General features: G+C 51.2%; 1 protein-coding gene across 4 annotated transcripts in view, besides 1 other annotated feature; it reads left to right on the top strand.

The window, feature by feature from the left end:
* The window catches only part of GSG1L (GSG1 like), a 276187-nt gene extending 257979 nt beyond the window's left edge, over window positions 1-18208 (top strand). For all 4 annotated transcript variants that reach the window (NM_001323901.2, NM_001109763.2, NM_001323900.2 and 1 more), the window contains one exon: window positions 14269-18208. In NM_001323901.2, coding sequence (NP_001310830.1) covers window positions 14269-14366 — 98 coding nt within the window. In that variant the 3' untranslated portion in view covers window positions 14367-18208. The remainder of the gene's footprint in view (window positions 1-14268) is intronic.
* Window positions 9441-9641: a silencer, noted in NCBI's record as "peak2549 fragment used in MPRA reporter construct". NCBI's record gives its function as "represses an SCP1 promoter by STARR-seq MPRAs in K562 erythroleukemia cells {active_cell/tissue: K562}" and the evidence as "EXISTENCE:reporter gene assay evidence [ECO:0000049][PMID:32103011]".
* Window positions 18209-19692: the final 1484 nt, after the last annotated feature.

The raw sequence follows: 19692 nt of genomic DNA, 5'->3' as shown, positions 1-19692 counted from the left end.
GCCCTCCCCCCACCCCAATCCCAGTGCCCACAGCCCTCCCCCCACCCCCAATCCCAGTGCCCACAGCCCTCCCCCCACCCCAATCCCAGTGCCCACAGCCCTCCCCCCACCCCAATCCCAGTGCCCACAGCCCTCCCCCCACCCCCAATCCCAGTGCCCACAGCCCTCCCCCCACCCCAATCCCAGTGCCCACAGCCCTCCCCCCACCCCAATCCCAGTGCCCACAGCCCTCCCCCCACCCCAATCCCAGTGCCCACAGCCCTCCCCCCACCCCCAATCCCAGTGCCCACAGCCCTCCCCCCACCCCCAATCCCAGTGCCCACAGCCCTCCCCCCACCCCAATCCCAGTGCCCACAGCCCTCCCCCCACCCCAATCCCAGTGCCCACAGCCCTCCCCCCACCCCAATCCCAGTGCCCACAGCCCTCCCCCCACCCCAATCCCAGTGCCCACAGCCCTCCCCCCACCCCCAATCCCAGTGCCCACAGCCCTCCCCCCACCCCAATCCCAGTGCCCACAGCCCTCCCCCCACCCCCAATCCCAGTGCCCACAGCCCTCCTCCCACCCCCAATCCCAGTGCCCACAGCCTTCCACCCACCCCCAGTCTCAGCCCCACTGCCCCCCCACCCCCAATCTCAGCCCCACAGCCCTCCCCCTGCTCCCAATCTCAACCCCACTGCCCTCTCCCACGCCCCCAACCCCAGCTGCCACAGCCCTCCCCCACCCCCAATCCCAGTCCTCACAGCCCTCCCCTGGCACCCAATCCCAACCTCCACAGCGCTCCCGTGCCCCCAATCCCAGCCCCCCGTAGCACTCCCCCAGCCTCCAATTCCAGTCCCCAAAGCCCTCCTCCGCCCCCAATCCCAGTCCCTGCAGCCCTCTCCCGTCCCCAATCCCAGTACATGCAGCCCTCCCCCCGCCCCCAATCTCAGCCTCCACAGCCCTCCTCTCCACCCCCAATCCCAGTCTCTGCAGCCCTCTCCCTACCCCCAATCTCAGCCCCCACATCCGCCCCCTGCCCTGATGCCTAGTGCCCCCTCAAGCAGCATCTCCTTGTGAAAGAATCATCAGACCCATTTGATAAGGCAACAGTCTGAACGATTTCATCTTTCATTCCTTGGTGAGTGTTTATTGAGCATCTGCTGCACGTCAGCCCTGTGGGTGCTGGAGAGACAGCAGGGAGTCAGGCAAGACAACGGCCCCTGCCTCAGGGACTCACAGTCTGAGGGGAGAGAGAATCATTCAGTAAGTGAGCTCAAAAACAAACAAGGGAGGAAGATGTGGTGATGGGGAGGAAACAGGGCAGGGGCACTCCTTCAGAGTCAGCGCTCTGAGAAACCACGGAGCTGGGACCTAAAGGGTGAGGAGTCAAATGAAGAGCTTTGCAGGCAGAGGGACCTGTGTGTCCGACAGCTGGAAGGAGCCAGACAGTGCTTGTGGAATAGCCAGGAGACCAGGGTGGCTGAGGCAGGGAGGGCAATGGGAGGGCAGGAGAGCTGGAGGGGCCGACGGTGGCAGGAGGCAGGACAGGGACGGAGTTCGCTATGCAGTGGAGGGGAAGTTGATTCTGCAGCAGGGAGCCCGGGGCATTTTAAGCAGGGAGAAGACATGTCCACATTATTTCTCTCTCTCTCTCTCTGTCCCTCCCTATTTCTTTATCTATCTATCTATCTATCTATCTATCTATCTATCTATCTATCCATCTAATCTATCTATTCATCCATCATCCATCTATTATTCATCTGTCAATCATCTATCCATCAATCATCTATCATCTATAAATCTTACCATCTATCTAATCTATCCATCCATCATCTATCAATCGTGTCATCTATCTACCTATTTATCTATCATCTATCTACAGATCCTATCTATCCTATCTACCATCTATCTATCTATATATCTATATCTATATCTATATCTATATCTATATCTATCTATCTATATATATATATATATATATATATATATGTCTGCACTGTGGGAAAAGGATCAGAGAAGAGCCAAACTCGAGACCAGGAGACCATCTTGTAATCTACAATATGCACAAAATGTTTTGCTGTTGCAGTCGTTCTTGGGAGACATGATGGTGGCGGCCTGAACTGTGGGGTTGGAGATAAAAGTGGGTAGCTCAAGGACCCTCTGCTGGTAGAATTCCTAGAGTGTCTTGGTTTGTGTTTCCCTGGAAGTCCCTTGAGATGAGGATATAACAGCAAGTGCTTTATTTTGATGATTGAACACCCAACTAGGAGTGAGGAAGAGAGACTAAGAAGGGAGACAAAGGCGACCAGTCAAAGGCACAGCGTCGAGCCTGCTGGGGGCTGGGGGCACCAGTGCAGAGCATATGTATCTGAGCCATCCCCCCAGATAGGAAGGCAACTCTCCTGGGCCATTGTTCAAGGGCTGCCGCAGAGAGGGTCGGGTGCATGAGTTCTCTGGAGGTAATGGCTCGGGGCATGGACAGAGGGGCTTGGGGCGCGATGGAGAAAGCCCCCTTGCACAGTTGGGGGTTAGCAGTGTGCACCACCGTGGAGCTGGGGGGACAGCATCAGATAAGTGACTGATTTGAGTGAGGACCGGGGGAGAGGAGGGACCTAGGATATGCACAGAATTTTTGCCCAAGCAGTCAGGGGCATGGGGTCCCTGACTGATGGAAGGATATGGGGAGGGGTCAGTTTGTGAAGGGCAATGTTGCTTTGTCTGTGTGGAGTTTGAGGGGCTCGTGAGGGCCTCCAGGAGGCAGCCAGATCAACGGAGGGGAGCTTAAAAGGGTGGCAGAGAGACAGGCAGGTGCAGTGGTGCATGCCTTAATCCCAGCTCTTTGAAAGGCCAAGGCAGGAGGATCATTTGATGCCAGGAGTTCGAGACCAGCCTGGGCAACATAGCAAGACCCCATCTTGAAAAAAAAAGTTAAAATTAGCTGGGCATGGTGGTGCAAGCCTGTATTCTCAGCTACTCTGGAGGCTGAAGTGGGAGGGGAGGATTGATTGAGCCCAGGAGTTTGAGGCTGCAGTACAGTATGGGATGGTTGAAGCCCAGAGACTGCAAAGATCATCTGAGGAGAATGTGTAGGGTAGGGAGACACAGTGACACAAAAGGGGCCTAACCTCCTGGGGGTTCAGGGGAGCCAGAGGCCGGTGGGGAAAGAGCTGTGGAAAACTGTCAGTCGCCCCCAGAGACTTTCCAAATCCTGGCTTCTCAGGGAAGAAAAGAGCCTGAGACCCCACAACCCCTGCGCCAGGTGTACCTTTTATCAGGTAGCTGAGCATTAGCAGGGATGGCCGTCATTCCCTGGGGATAGCGGAGTTGCTGGGAACTCCCACGTCAAACAGCTAATAAGGAAGAGACCCCCTCTGTGGTCAGAGCTGAGGGAGGGGTCAGGGGAATGTGGGCTGGATGCTGGCATGCGTGAGAGATCCCGTGACTTCAGGGATCCTGAAGCAGGCTGCTTTATTTATTCCACAAATCATTACTAAGGAGACCTCTCTGGCTCCTGGGAGCATGGAGACGAATAAGGCACGTTGCTGGACCCTGTTGACTTCCAAGTCTTGTTGGGGAGACAGACCCAAGCCATTCGTGCACTGTGTGGCCAGAGCTTGAAAGGGGTCAATGCAGGGTGCGGGATAGCAGGGCATGGTGCCTCATCCCACTCAGGATGACATGGGGTGCAGGAAAGGGAAAGCAGGAAGGGGGGACTTAGCCAGGGTGATACCCCTTGGCAGGACCTCCAGGGCTATCATGATGATACCTGCATTTGATTACGGAAACAGCCAGCAAGAAGAACTCAGTCCCCTAGATCTAATCACAGTATCTCACCTTTGTGCATGTTCTCAGGACTTTGCACTTATTCACTCATTTAACCCTAAATACGGACCCATTTTACAGACGAGGAAACGGAGGCCCAGGAGGTTAAGACCATGGCTTACTCAATACACAGCTAGAAAGTAGCAAAGCTGGGATTTGAACCCGGCCGGTCTGACCTCATCACCCACACCCTGGACCGCTAGGTGATGTCAGTCAGCAGCTCCATTGGTTGGGCAGGGTACTGAGGATGTGGGGTGCCTCCAGACATGGCCTCGGTCCTCTTGGAGCTCATGGTCTAGAGAAGCAGCCGATCAAATGAGTATGGAAATGATGCCGTCTCAGAATTCGGCCTCTTAGCTGCTAGTGGGTTTTCAGCCAAGAAAATATTTTGGAAATGCCTGGACGAGTTTTGCAATATTTCTGCGGGGAGCAGCTGCTCAGATCCTGCGATGGGCTGACTTGCCGGCAGGAGGAACGGGGGAGGCGGGATGTCAGGGAGCCGGCATTATTAAACACTTACTGTGTGCAGGTCTGTGCTAAGCACTTCTCTGCCATCTCATTTGATGGCTGATCCAGCCCTGAGAAGCGGGGATTCTTCTTCTAGAAATACAGTGCTGTAAGGCAAATCAGCTTTGCTGGGATCTCTGGTTCACTCGGCAATAAAACTCAGCTTGGCAATTAGATCTTGCTCCTTACCCTGGGAGAGAGGCCACTCCTTCTCAGGCTCCCAACCCCGTAGGCCTCTTCCCCATCTCCCATGCTGCCCCAGCCAACCTGACCTTCCTCTTTCTTGAACACGCAAAACTCATTCCCTTGGTAGGACCCTTGCACTTGCTGTTCTCTCTGCCTGGATGCTCTCCCTCTAAATCATGGTGTGGCTGACTTCGTCTCATCTTTAAGTCAGCTGAAAGGCCGCTTCCTCCGAGAAGCCTTCCCTGATCTGCACCAGCTTCCCCAGTCATCCCCATATCACCGGGTTCTCTTTTCTTCCTAGCATTTGTCCCTCTCCGAAATGATCTTTTATGTTCACATGCTTGGTTTTCGTTTTGCTGCCTCTCTCCACCAAGTGCCATGAGAACAGGCGCCTTGAGTGTTTTGTTCCTGTGTATATCCCAAGAGTCTAAACTAGTGTGTGGCACATAATAGGTGCTTAATTGTTGGCTGTCAACCTCCACGTTTCTCCCACCACCTCCCATCTGAGAAGCCACTTTTATATTAGCAATTACATAAACTTCTGGTTATCCTAACTGTCCCCAAAGATGTTATTCTGGGGGGCTACTGTGATATGGATTTGGCTATAATTTTTTTTTTCCTGAGGAAGTTGCTTTTGAAACCTGCCTTTGGGGCTTTGTGGCGCCACCAGCCAGCTCAGGAGCACATCAGACGTGACATTTGATGGAGGCGATGTTGCCATATGGCCCAGGTGTCTGCATCTTCCTTTCAGGGGCGACTGAGGTTTGCAGTTGATTGCAGCTGTCAAGTTCAATGCCTGAGACAAGGTTTTGATTTTGCCAGGTGTATCTGTAAGGCTGGGCTCCACGAGAGGCTGTCGCATGCTGGGCGCGGAGGTGGCTTCTGGGAGCTCCATCTAGATGGGTCTCTGCCACTGCTGCTGCCCTCAAAATAGCAGAGGGAATTTCAAGAAAGAATTTTTCTGGACCCAGAGCAACTTGGCATTTTTATTAGATCAAAATCAAATCCAATAGAGTCCTGCTCGAGTTGCTTCCTTTATTAAAATGGAAACAGACAGTATTTCTAAAATAAATATCAATGCCAATTTGCTGGGAGCGCAGATGGCACACAGCTTGCAGACATCTGAGACCTCAGCACTGGGGGTCGAGAGATCCAAGCCAACAGGAGCATCAGAGACACATGGAGAGCTCGTTAAAGGATGGACTGCAGGGCCCCACCCTCAGAATTTCTGATTCAGGAGGTCTGGCGGGGGACCCAGGGTTCCGCAGCTCTAAGTTCTCCACGATGCTGATGCTGCTGATCTACAGACCAAATTTGCAGTTGTCCTCAACCCTCGGCCAATACCTGTCCCTTTGAAGCTACTGCCAGAAGCCAGTCTGCATTTTGTCGCTTGCTTGGGCTATTCAGCAACTTCTAGATGGAAATTGCTGCTTCTAGGGCCAATTCCTTTCCAATCCATCCTCCGAAGACATAAACTTGATCATGTCTTCCCCAGTCCTTCCTAGCTCTAAAACCTCCTATAACAGCAGCTCTAGTAGGAATCTGGCTCGGTGCCCGCCCCCTTCACAAGTTCCCATGAGGCCTTCTCTCGCCTTCCCCTCCTGCATCATCATTTTTCTTTCCATCACTTGTTCCTCTCTGAGCCCTTCTTTGCTCACTTGTTTTTCTGTTTTTGTTTTGTTTTGTTTTGTTTTTTGAGATAAGGTTGTGCTCTGTCACCCAGGCTGGAGTGCAGTGATGTGATTATAGTTCACTGCAGCCTTGATATCCTGGGCTCAAGGGATCCTCCCACCTCAGCCTCCTGAGTAGCTGAGATTGCAGGCACATGACATAGACGTGGGTAATTTTTTTTATGTTTCCAATTTTTTTTGTAGAGATGGAGTCTTGCTATGTTGCTCAGGCTGGTCTCGAACTCCTGGCCTCAAGTAATAATCCTGCCTTGGACTCCCAAAGTGATGAGATTACAGGCGTGAGCCGCCAAGCCCAGTTAATTTTTTTTTTTTTTTTGGTAGATATGGGGTCTTGCCCAGGCCGGTCTCGAACTCCTGGCCTCCAGCAATCCTCCCGCTTCAGCCTTTCAAAGTGCTGGGATTACAGGCATGAGACACCACACCCGGCCTGCTCCCTTGTTTATGTCCAGCCTCTCCTCAGTGAAATGGAAATGTCACCAGCACAGGGACCTTGTTGCTGCATTCACTGTGACATCCCCAGGGCCTAGCACACAGTAGGTCACCAGTATGTTTCTGGTGCATGATTTAGCTCACTTAGTCCTCAGGAGCTGTGTGCTGTGAGTAGTATTTCTATTTTACAAGGGAAAATACTTGGGTTCTGAGAGGTAATGTCACTTGTCCTTTGGGGACAAGCTTGTGACCTTGGGGTCACAAGCCTGTCTGACTCCAAGCTAAAGCTATGACATGGTTCTTCTACTTTATGCCCACTTCTGTCCAAGGCAGTGGTACCACAACCATGCCTAACCCTAAGAAACACTTGGGGCAGGTGTCAAAATAGACTGCCCTCCAGAGCCCAATTCCTCAGTGTGGGACAGGCAAGGAATCTGTAGCTGAGAAGTGTCATGATAAGGCAGAAACCCTTGGGGTGCATGGGGTTTAGGGGGCCCTGCTGGGCATTCTACACCTGCCACCAAGCAACTTCTGCAGCTGCGATGCTCCATGCCTTACCCCTTCATCCCCATGTGCTCTGCTTTCAGGCCATACCCGTCCACTTGCCTCCCTGAAACCACAATATTGCTAGGTTTTTCACACTTCCTGAAGAACCTCATCCGCCTGCCAAGGACCTATTTCACACCCTGTTCTTTCTGCATGAAATGCTGTGCCCCCTTCCTCCACTGGGCAGAAAACCAACCCTACCAGTGGAATTGGGAGCTTTTGCAAGGGCTTTCAAAATCTAGCTCAACTGTCTGGGAACTGCCCCCAGCCCCCTCCCCAGCTCCTGGCAGAGGGGAACACGTTCGTCTCTGCCTTTCACTCTCCTGGTGTTTGTCTGTGAGCCAAATTTTTATAATGTCTATGAGCCCAATCTTTGTGTTTTTAAATGTTTTAATTGTTATAGGTTCAGGGGGTACAGGTGCAGGTTTGTTACATGGATGTATTGCATAATGCTCAGGTTGGGCTTCTGATGTATCTGTCACCTGAATAGTGAACAACGTACCCTGTAGGTAATTTTTCAACCCTTACCCCACTCCCATCCTCCCCCTGTGGAGCACCCAGTTTCTGGTATTTCCCTTTCTATGGCCGTATGTGCTTGTTGTTTAGCTCCTACTTACAAATGAGAACATGTGATACTTGATTTTTTGTTTCTGAGTTATTTCACTTAAGAGCTGGCCTCCAGCTCTACCCATGTTGCTACGAAAGACAGGATTTCATTCTCTCTCTCTCTCTTTTTTTTTTTTTTTTTTTTTTGAGATGGAGTCTCTCTCTGTCACCCAGGCCGTGGTGCAGTGGTGCAATCTCGGCTCACTGCCAGCTCCGCCTCCTGGGTTAACACCATTCTCCTGCCTCAGCCTCCCGAGTAGCTGGGACTACAGGTGCCCACCACCATGCCTGGCTAATTTTTTATATTTTTAGGAGAGATGGGGTTTCAGCGTGTTAGCCAGGATGGTCTCGATCTCCTGACCTCGTGATCCACCCGCCTCGGCCTCCCAAAGTGCTGGGATTACAGGCGTGAGCCACCGCGCCCGGCCCTTTTTTTTTTTTTTTTGAGATGGAGTTTTGCTCTTGCTGCTCAGGCTGGAGTGCAGTGGTGCAATCTCGGCTCACTGCAATCTCTGCCTCTCGAGTTCAAACAATTCTCCTGCCTCAGCCTCCCAAGTAGCTGGAATTACAGGCACCTGCTACCACACCAAGATAATTTATGTATTTTTAGTAGAGACAGGTTTTCACCATGTTGGCCAGACTGGTCTTGAACTCCTGACCTCAAGTAATCCACCTGCCTCAGCCTCCCAAAGTGCTGAGATCACAGGCACTGCCACTGCACCCAGCAGATTTCATTGTTTTTTAATGGCTGCATAGTTTTAAATCTAAGTATCTGTTGATGAGAGCCCAACCTTTGGAGTGAAGCTGGCTAGATTCAAGTCTCAGCAGTGAGGCCTTGAAACAATGACTTAATTTATCTGGACCTCGGTTTCCTCACCTGTAAAATGGGGATAATAATGGCACCTAACTCGTATTTTTGAGGATTAAATGAGTCCATGGACAGGAAGCACATTGAATGGTTCCTGGCACACAGCAGGAGTGGGAGGCATGTCTGGTCTTGTCATCTCTTCATATGTGTGCCTGTGAGCACCCGGGGGGAGGGCCGCATCTCACTCACGTCTGTAAACCCAGCAGCCAGTGTGGAGGCTGACACACAATACATGCCCAACACATGTCTAAATAAAGGACTGAGGAATCAGGGGCCCTGGGGAGAGGTGGCAGGTGCAGTGGACTTTGTCTCATCCCAAGGGCAAGAAAGAGACAAAGAGAATGTTATGGCTCAGAAACGTGGAATCCCTGAGGATGACCCCAGTGGAGAGATAGATGGCCCCCATTCAATCTCCTAAAACAGCCCGCCTGAGGTAGACCAGAAGACACAAACTTCCCTCCATACGGGTCCGTCCCACTCAAGCCTGCCCTTCCTCCTGAGCCCTCCACCGTTCACTCATTCTGCAGACACGTGCTTTCAACGCTGTGCCTGGGACCATGCTGATGCAGGGATGCAACTGTGAGGGAAAGCAGAGCTGGCCTTTGTCCTCCTGTGACACATGCCTCAAAGGCAAGATGAGGAGAAAACCAGTAAACAGATATTCCCATATGTGATGACACCTCTGAAGCCCTCTCATGGTAGAGATTTGTGGACCTAGAAGAGCGATGAGAGTGTCACTAGCTGACAGGTTTCCAAAGCCCGATTTCTTAGCGCCATCCCTGATTCATTTTCCACCACTCTTCAAGCTTCCTTTCTTTCTGGAGGGCAGAGGTCAAGGTTGGGCAGACAGACAGTTGGCTTTGGGCGGACCTGTGAGTCCTATAGAGAGAGGCTTTCAGCACCTCGGACAGCGGCTGGGTGATTGGCCGGAAGGAACTTCCCTGTAAAGGGATCCAGCTGATCTGTGCCAAGCTGGGCTACTGTAGGGTCAGGAGCATCAATACCTGCCACCTGTTACCCTCACTCTGCCAGCTGCAGAGAGACCTTGAGCAAGTCAGTTTCCCTCTAAGTGCCTCAGTTTCCCGATCTGTACATTTGTGGTGGCATTGACGTTCCTGGTCTTGAAGGGCCCTCCCAACCCAATGAATCCATTTTGGAACAGTAGATGTGATTTAATTCAATTCAGCAATTATGTCTGATTCCCGGATCTTGGTGGCTTAGAGAGGGTTCAAGACAGTGATTCTTCACTGAGGGAGGCGGGAGATGGGGCTGGAGGAGATCTGATGTTAAATATGTTCATGTTTTGATATCTGGATTTAAAAGGGAAGAGAAATCACACCTTTGGGGAACCTCCTGTGGTCAAATACTCTGCTAACCTTGGGAGGTTCCCAGAAAATGGAAACCACAGTACCTGCTACCACGCTCTGAGTGGGGCCTTGACAAATCTTTTCCCACCCATGGGCCTTGGTTTCCCCATTTGTGAAGAGAGGCTTTCAAACCCAACCTGCTTCTAGTGCTTCCAGAACTGTGTTCTTTCCACTTCTGTCTGTGTCTGAGATTGGACAGTGAAGGGTTTCTCTGCAGGGTGCCTGCTGGGCCTGCCAACTCCTTTGTAGCTTTCATCCATTTGCAGGCTCAGAGAGGTGAAGTTGCTTGTCAGAAGCCACACGGCTTAAAAAAAATTCACACAATTTGCAAGCAGTGGAGGCTGGGTTTGAACCTTTGGCTGTTAGACCGAAGTACGGTCTCCCCAGCCCCCTGCCATCACCTGAGCCTTCACCCAAAAGAGGAGAGTTTGAGCAAAAACCCTTTTCATACTGTACAGAAGCTCAGAGCAGGTAGAGCAGGTGCATCCCAAGCGCAGGAATCACTCTCTCCCCTTCCTCCATGGTTTCTTCATTTGTTTAAAAAGAAAAAAAAAAGAGTCAGTTTGGGACTTGCTCTGTGCTGGGCCAGGGGCTGGGGAATCAGGGCTCCAAGATGAAGCAGACCCTGGCCCTGCTCATAAAGCTGTCTCCCATCCCCAGTTTCATTGGGGAGACCCATGCTGACCTGGCTATTACAACACAAAGTGATGAGTTCGGGGAGAGAGTTATGCAGGCTGCTGAAGGGCACAGGGAAAGGAGCAAAGCCTCCATTTTCCAAATGCTGCCAGCTCTAGGAAGCATTCTACAGGGCTATGGAATGCTTCCCAGAGCAGGCAGCATTTGAAAAAATCAGGGAGTCAACAGCTGGAGAAGAGCAGGGAAGGGCGCTCCCACCTAGGGGATCAGCCTATGCAAAGCCATGGAACAGAATCATGGAACGAAGACACAGGCTGGGATCTGCCTCTCGTGGGCTGAGTGCAGCCTGAGAAATGCTCTTTGGCCCACAGATTGTTGAAAATACATTTGAAACCTTAATTGTCATCATTTAAAAGCCAGGAGGTTTTGTTTCGAGATCCAGATTTTCAGTTTCTTTGAAAGTTTTGGGCCGGGCGCGGTGGCTCAAGCCTGTAATCCCAGCACTTTGGGAGGCCGAGGCGGGTGGATCACGAGGTCAGGAGATTGAGACCATCCTGGCTAACACGGTGAAACCCTGTCTCTACTAAAAGTACAAAAAAATTAGCTGGGCGTGGTAGCAGGTGCCTGTAGTCCTAGCTACTTAGGAGGCTGAGGCAGGAGAATGGCGTGAACCCGGGAAGCGGAGCTGGCAGTGAGCCGAGATCGCGCCACTGCACTCCAGCCTGGGCAACAGAGCGAGACTCCGTTTCAAAAAAAAAAAAAAGAAAGTTTTGAAGATCCAGCTGGGCATGGTGACTCACACCTGTAATTCCAGGGCTTTGGGAGGCTGAGGCGGGAAGATAACCTGAGGTCAGGAGTTCAAGACCAGGCTGTGGAACAGAGCGAGACCCCATCTCTACAAAAAATAAATAAATAATTAGCCAGGGATGGTGATGTGCACCTGCAGTCACAGCTACTCAGAAGACTGAGGCAAGAGGATTGTTTAAACCTAGGAGCTCGAGGCTGCAGTGAGCCATGATGGCGCCACTGCGCTCCATCTTGGGTGACAGAGTGAGACCCCATCTCAAACAAACAAACAAACAAACAAAAAAACAGTTTAGGAAGATCTGAGCCCACATTCTCCTTGGTAACAATTGGCACTGTCTCTGACTCACCTCATCCATTTACATTGCCTGCTTGGGCCCACAAGACATTTTGAGTTGAGATTCCCAATCTACAGCACAAGGCCTGGGAGAGAAGAGAAGTGGGTGGGGGTCCCTGGTGGGCTGCTGGAGTGTTCTCCTCTGTATACACACACCTTAAATGGCTCTGAGCCCCAAGTGCCTCCTGGGTAGCCAGAGAAAGGGAGGAGGGCCCCAGTCCTCAGCATCTTGCCCTCTGCATCCAGGGGACAGACAGCCTGATTTTAACTCAGGGAAGGACAGGGATTGTGGCCTTTCCTTTTCCTTAAAAAATACACTATCACTTTCTTTCTGTTCTGATGATCTCTCCATGGCTCTGCTTTTCAGCCACTGTACAAGCAGCTAAAATTATGCCTAAATGCTTATTTAGAAAAACAATCATACCTTTCCATGCACCAAATATTTGCTTCTAGATTAAAAAAACAAAACAAAACCCAAACACCTCTATCTTGGCAGCCAACACTTCCAAAGTATGCAATGGTTTCCATGACTGAGGCCAAAACAAATGTGTTTTTCTGAAGCCAAATGATTCCAAAATGTTTGCAAAATGTTTCCCACCCCTTAATAAATATAGTAAAACTTGCAAAACACTAACATTAAGGAATATTAAAAGCAGAAAGAAAAAAGTGAAAGCCAAAAATATTACCCCCCACCCCAGCTATGGACACAACCATCTTCCTCTTTGACTCTTGTCTTGCAGCCTTGTTATTAGAAAGACTCTCCTGATAATGAGAGCTGCTTTGAGGATGGAGAAGGAACAAGGAGATCTCCATCCTTAGAGGCATGCAAGTAGGAGCTTGGCTTCACTAGGAATTCCCACCTCAATGGGCTTTCTGCCAAGAGCCTGTCTGACCCTAAAGTATGACAAGTATGTCTGAGAATCAGAGTAGGAAAATGAAATTATACGGATCACATTTTTTTAAATGCTGAAATTTGGAATCAGGAGGAAAGTAATTCAATCCAGCTCTATCATAGCTGTGACTTCTAAAGCATCTACTAATCCTTACAGAGCCTCGGCTCCCTCATCTGTAAAATGGGCAGAACTACCTCTGGAGCTGCACATGCTCAGGAACTGTTTGTTTTCTTCCTTCCCCCCTTCACTCCCAGCCCCACTCCACCACACCAACCCTCTCCCTTAGTTTTGCACCTTCCAGCTCCACCTCCACTGGTCCACAGGGGTGCATACATTCTGGGCTCAGTCATTGCTCCCCTGGGCTTGGGGTCTAACGGGGGTGATGCTGGCAGAGTGTGCGCTGAGGGTGGGTGCTCTGGGATGAGGGAGATCCCTGAGTGCCAGGGGGAGGATGTCAGAGGGGGCTTCCTGGAGAGCTGAAACTCCAGCTGGGTCTTGATTTGATTCGGCGGGAGGTACAAGGACATTTTAGGCCACAGCATGAGATGGGAATGATTCTGGTGCGCTAGAAAGACTTTGAAGAGACACTTGAGGGGTGACAAGGGAGTGATCTTCCAAAAATTGCCAAAAACACGAAGGAGTGAGAGTGGCAGAGGGGAAGAGCCTTTCCAGCCCTTCCCCTTGTCCAGTCCACTAAGTGTGGTAGACAGTGGCAGGTGCCCCCTGCCTCGGTGCCCAGAGAGTTTCTCAGAGTCAGCTTAGGGCACACCCATGTCCACACACACAGTTTCTGGGGTCCAGCAAGGACTTGGGGACCTAGGAGACATCTGCTCTTGTTCCCCTTCTAATATCCGTACACAACAGCTCCTGAACACATATAAGGCAAATGGGGTGCTCAAGGAGGCCTGCTTGGGGGCAGATGGCAAGGTGGGGAGACAGCTGCAGGATGACAGGATGGTGGTGGATGATGGCTGCACAAGTAGGTGGATTTGCTGAGGGGTGGGTGGTGGAAGGGAAGGATGGAGGGAAAATGGGTGGGCAGATGGCAGGAGTGGGGGCATGGCTTTATGTGAGGTGAGTGAACGTGACTGCAGGGGGTGCTGTCGTGGCTGTCAGGTGGGCATGGGGTGGATAAGGGGATGTTTTGGGTGTAGGTGGATGTGTACATGTAAAGGTGTGTTATTGGGTGGTAGGAGGATGGTTGGGTTACTGGGTGGTAGGAGGATGGCTGGGGGAGTGGTGCACCTGTTGGCAGGTGTGAGGTGCATGAGCGGGTTCTGGGCTGTGGGTTGGAGAGGGTGTGAGCAGAGTCGTGGATACATTGGTGGCTTGATAAGTGGATGGCAGCAAATATTGGCAGATACATGACTAGGTCACAGGTGTGTTGGTGAACTGGTGGGTGACTGGGTGGCTGACAGGGGAGGGATGGGTGGAGAGCTGGTGGTGTTGGGCATGGATCGGTAGACAAAAGGCATGATGGGCAGAAGGCCTAGTAAATGAGGGTGAGTGATGGATGTGTGGGTGGGGGGCGGTGGGTAGACAGGATGTGGGTGGAGGAAGGTGGCTTTCAGCACTGACCGCCTTGTCTCCTGGCAGGACACCAGCCACACATGGCGGATTCCTGGCCCCGGAGCTCCGCACAGGAAGCACCAGAGCTGAACCGACAGTGCTGGGTCTTGGGGCACTGGGTGTGACCAAGACCTCAACCTGGCCCGCGGACCTCAGGCCATCGCTGGCACCAGCCCCTGCTGCAAGACCACCAGAGTGGTGCCCCCAGAACCCTGGCCTGTGTGCCGTGAACTCAGTCAGCCTGCGTGGGAGATGCCAGGCCTGTCCTGCCCATCGCTGCCTGGGTCCCATGGCCTTGGAAATGGGGCCAGGGCAGGCCCAAGGGAATGCACAGGGCTGCACAGAGTGACTTTGGGACAGCAGCCCCGGACTCTTGCCATCATCACATGAGCCCTGCTGGGCACAGCTGCGATGCCAGGAGACACATGGCCACTGGCCACTGAATGGCTGGCACCCACAAGCCAGTCAGGTGCCCAGAGGGGCAGAGCCCTTTGGGGGGCAGAGAGTGGCTTCCTGAAGGAGGGGGCAGTGGCGCAGGCACTGCAGGGGTGTCACACAGCAGGCACACAGCAGGGGCTCAATAAATGCTTGTTGAACTTGTTTTCTTGCGGTGTATGGAGGCCAGTTGCTCTGTGGGCTGTGGCTGCCCTGTCATTGCCCCACCCCATTACTCCTCAAGGAGGCTGAAGGTGACAGCAGAGACTGTGCAGAGGCCAGGGCCAGACACTGCAGGGTGGCAGGGAGGGAGCACAGAGCCCAGGCTGGACACAGGCTGGCAGGGCTGCCTTGTATTCCAGAGAGTGGGCAAGGCAGGGGCCAGGCAAGCAAGAGATGTGGGGCGAGCAAGAAGTGGGCCCCCAAACCCAAGCCCTAAGCAGGGAGGGTGAAGAAGCCACATTTCTCTTCAGAGCTCAGCAACATCACACCACCCTGACCCTGAGGAGGCTTTACCCTGTGCCTAGCACCACCTTTACAGAAAATCCCAGGGCTTAGATGCCTGGAGAAACAGATTCTTATTATAAAGAGGAGGAAAATTAGGGTCACAGAGATGAATGAAGTAACTTGCCTGTGATTACAGAGCTAGCAAATGGCAGAGATGGGGTTTGAATCAGGACTCCTGACTCCAAGTTCAGTCATTTCCCAAGAGGCCTTATTCCTTCCCAGAAGAATTTCTAGAGCTTTTCCCCACGTAGAATATATTCTTCTCCTTTATCCTTCCATCCTTCCATCCATCATCCATCACTCATCCAGCCATTATCCATTATCCATCCATCCATTCATCATTCGTCCATCTATTATCCACCCATTCATCATCTATTATCCATCCATCATTCATCATCCATCCATCATTCATAATTCATCTTTCCACTCATCCATCCATCATTCATTCATTCATCCATCCTTCCATCCATCCATCATCTATCCATTCATCCATCCATTTGCCATCCATCCACTCATTCATCAGCTATCCATCATCTATCCATCCATCCATCCATCCAGCATCTATCACTCATCCAGCTATTGTCCATTGTCCATTCATCCATTTTTCATTCATCCCTCCATCATCATTAATCCATTATCCACCCACTCATCATCTATTATCCATCTATAGTCCATCAACCATCCATCCTTCATCATCCATCCATCCATCCTTCATCCATCCATCCACCCATCCATCCATCCATCATCTGTCCATCCATTATCTATCCATTCATCCATCCATTCATCATCCACCCACCTATTCATCAGCTATCTATCCATCATCCATCCATCCATCATCCATCCATCCATCCATCCATCCATCATCTATCCATTCATTGTCTATGCTTTCATCCATCCATTCATCATCCATCCACCCATTCGTTAGCTATTTATCCATTATCCATTCCTCCATCTATCCATCATCCATTCATCCCTTATCCATTCAACCATTATGCATTTCTTCATTTATCCATTATTTATCCTTCCATCCATCATCCATCATCTTTCCATCCACTATCTATCCATTCATCCATCTATCCATCATCCATCCATCCTTTATCCATCATTCATCAGCCATCATCCCTCCATCTATCCATTATCCATCATCCACTCATCCATTCATCCCTCCATCTGCCCATTATCCATCAACCATCCATCCATCCATTATCCGTCATCCACACATCCATTCATCCCTCCATCTGCCCATTATCCATCAACCATCCATCCATCCATTATCCATTTCTGCATTATCCATTTATTCTTTATCCATTTCTTCATCTATTCATCATCTATCCATCCATTATCCTTACACCTATCTATCATCCATCCATTCCTTCATCTATCCATCATCCATCAATTATCCATCCATTCATCCATCCATCTATCCATCTTCTATTGATTGCTTGTCATCCTTCCTTGTATCAGACTTCCATCCATCCTCCTTCCATGTGTCACACATCCTCATTACTCAACCATCCAGCTGTGCATCCATCTATTCACTGATATAGTTCACTGTGCCCCTACTATGTGCCAAGCACTGTGGTAGGCACTTGAGGTGGGATGCTGGAGCATCCAGAGAGGGCATCTATTGTCGTGAGCCTGGGTTCAGATTCCACCTTCTCCACTTGTGACCTTGGGCGAGTTACTTGACCTTTCTGTGCCTGTTTCCTCATCCATTAAATCCGGATAATCATTATACCTACCTCTTCAAGCTGTTGTGCAAATTAAATGAGCTAACATATTTGAAGTGTCTAGAACAGAGCCTGGCACAAGTAAACACTTTGTGGGTGTTTACTAACAGGACAACAAGGGGAAATCGGGGCTGTGGGAGCTGTAGTCTAGGGAGGCTCCTTTGAGAAAATGATGTCTAAGCCAAGACATGAAGATTGTCTGGGCATCAGCCAGGCAAGAGTATAGCAGGGAAAGAAAGTACATTAGAGGACTTTAAAATAGTCCCAATGGCAGGTGTGGAGAGCAGGGAGGTCAGGAGGCAGTTGTGGGAAATTAGGCATCAGAGGGCAGTGGAGCCAGGCCAGGAGGAACTGGAAACCTTCTTAGGGAGCTTAGAGTTTACCCTGGGGCAATGGGGAGTGGGCAGTGAGATGCTTTTAGCAGACTGGGATGCGCCTGGGTGTACATTTGAGGAAGATCACCGCAACTATGGGCACAGAATAGTTGTGGGAGATGCTTCTCCCTTCCTCATCCCTCTTACACTCAAGAAAGAGAAGAAAGTGGGCTGGCTTAGGAAAGTTGCCCTGGGGAGGGGACCATGCGGGCAGATTCAGGAACCAATTAGGAGGGAATAGACTGAGTGGGAGAAGAGGAAAGTTGGTGACGACTCTCAGGTTACAGGGTCAGCTTGGGGGATAGGGAAGACGGAGACTTCGTGGTTCAGATGTCTTGAGTCTCAGGGGCTCAGGGGACAGCCAGCTGGAGGTTTGTGCTCATTCATTCACGCATTGATTCATCAAGCGAACAATTTGTTAATTCACTTTCCATTCATTCAGTAAATATTAATGACCTACTAGGTGGGGCTTAAGGCGGGGCTGGAAATGGGCCTGGGAGAGCAATTATGGTCCAGCTCTACTGAGGCCTTGAATGTCAGAACAAGGAATTTGGGCTTTGGCCTCATGCAAGAGAGGGCGGCTGCCATATATGGGCCTGGGCAGGGACAGATCTGACAGGGATCTAGCCCTGGCCACCAGGCATCTAGGAGCTCTTGTTCTCACCCAGGGTCCTTCTGAAGTTGGCGAGTGGACCGCAGGAGGTCCAGGAGATGATTGTAGTTGACACATGGGGAAAATTTTAATCTATTTTAATAGTTGTGTTTATGTAAATGTGTATTAGAAAAAAATGTACAGTGGGCACATCAGTGCTATGACTTCACAGACGTTACTGCTTAGGATGAAACCAAAATAGGCATTTAAGTAAAAGAAAAAAAGAGTTGGCTTAAAGAAAAATATTAAATAAATAATCGTGCAAGTGGTATGTGGTTATGATATGCGGACAGCTTGAGCGACAGCCATTGTCACGGGGCAAGGGAGAGAGGTCAGAGGCTCCCAGGGCCACTGAGCTTCAAGTCCTCTGGTCTCCTTCTGGGCACCTCCTGGGCGGGGGCTGAGAACCAGCTGTCTGTCAGTTTCATGGAGCCTGCAGCAAGAAAGCTGCTGGTTAGATAAGAGGCAGGCTGGGTGAGTAATTCCAGTGGGTTTACTACGAGTTCGTATGAGAGTTGTCTTTATGCAGGGAGCGAATGCCAGTGTCTGCCTGAATCTGGAAGGTGGGAGTCACCATCTGGTTTGAAGGCAGGGGGTGCCTGTTTGAGCACCCAGAGGCCTGGATGGGAAAGAAAAGGCCCCTCCACCCACCTCCACAGACAGCTTTCCCAGCTACACCTCCCCTGCGCTGCCCTGAGCAGACAGGCTCCAACCATGGAGAGAATGGCTGTGTGTGTGTCTTTGGTCTTGACACCCATATATATCGACGTGACCCACAGCCCAAAGCGCTTACACGACCTCGTTCTGCCCTGGGCACCTGCGTCCCGTGTCTCTGTATCCACACGCCTTGGGCTCGTGTGTACATGCCAACCTTACCGTGGCCCAGTCACACATACCCATGATCATCAGAGGCTGACTTTGGCTCAAAGTGCTGACCCTACTCCCCTGGCCCCCCACAACATGTTGATATTGCTCAAGTGTGAGTCAGCACCTTGTATGTACCTAGGAGCTAACTGCATGTTCACTGCTCATCCACACTGTGTGTTCTGTTGACCTTGTGCACACACGCTCATGCGTGCTTCTGCTGGCTCTGGACAAAATGCCACACATGTGCTAATGCTGAACAAACATGCTCATGATACACACGTGGCCCTGGGCACACACCTGTGTCTGCACATGCTCTGTGCTTCTCTTGTTGCTTGTTGGCCCATGTCACCCCCTCTACCCAGGTGCAGAGGACCCATGAAGCCACAATCCCTTCTCTGGCCAAGGGCTGAAGGGCAGGCCCGGGCCTCCGTGAGTAACTGGGCTGCCTTCCCTCCTTGGCTGGTGGCTGTGATGGGCACGCATCCCCGCCACCCCCGCCAAAGCCAGCCGTCCTGGCCACACACTCGTCTCCCTCGGGTAATGGAAATGTCAGCTTGATTCATGGAGATTCATCTGCGGCAGCCAGGCCTGAAGACGAGGCACGCTGCGGGAGGATCATCCCCTGTGAAGAGCTGCTGCAGCAAGGGTGTCAAGCCCCTGCCTGGGAGGATGTGAGGATGGAAGAAAGCCCCTGAGGCTGTGCAGTTAGGCCTGGGTTCAAATCCCGAGGCCACTGCAGACCTGCTATGTGCCTCATTGATCCAAGAAATAGTTATGGAGGGACTGCTGTGTACAGGAACAGAGCTGTGCCCTGGAGTGGCCATGGCGAACAAGAAAGACAGACACTATCTTCACCCTTGTGGAGATTAGATTATTAATAATCCTA

Source organism: Homo sapiens, chromosome 16, assembly GCF_000001405.40.
Source record: "Homo sapiens chromosome 16, GRCh38.p14 Primary Assembly".
NCBI classification, from domain to species: Eukaryota; Metazoa; Chordata; class Mammalia; order Primates; family Hominidae; genus Homo; species Homo sapiens.
This window is presented reverse-complemented; position numbering and strand designations above follow the sequence as displayed.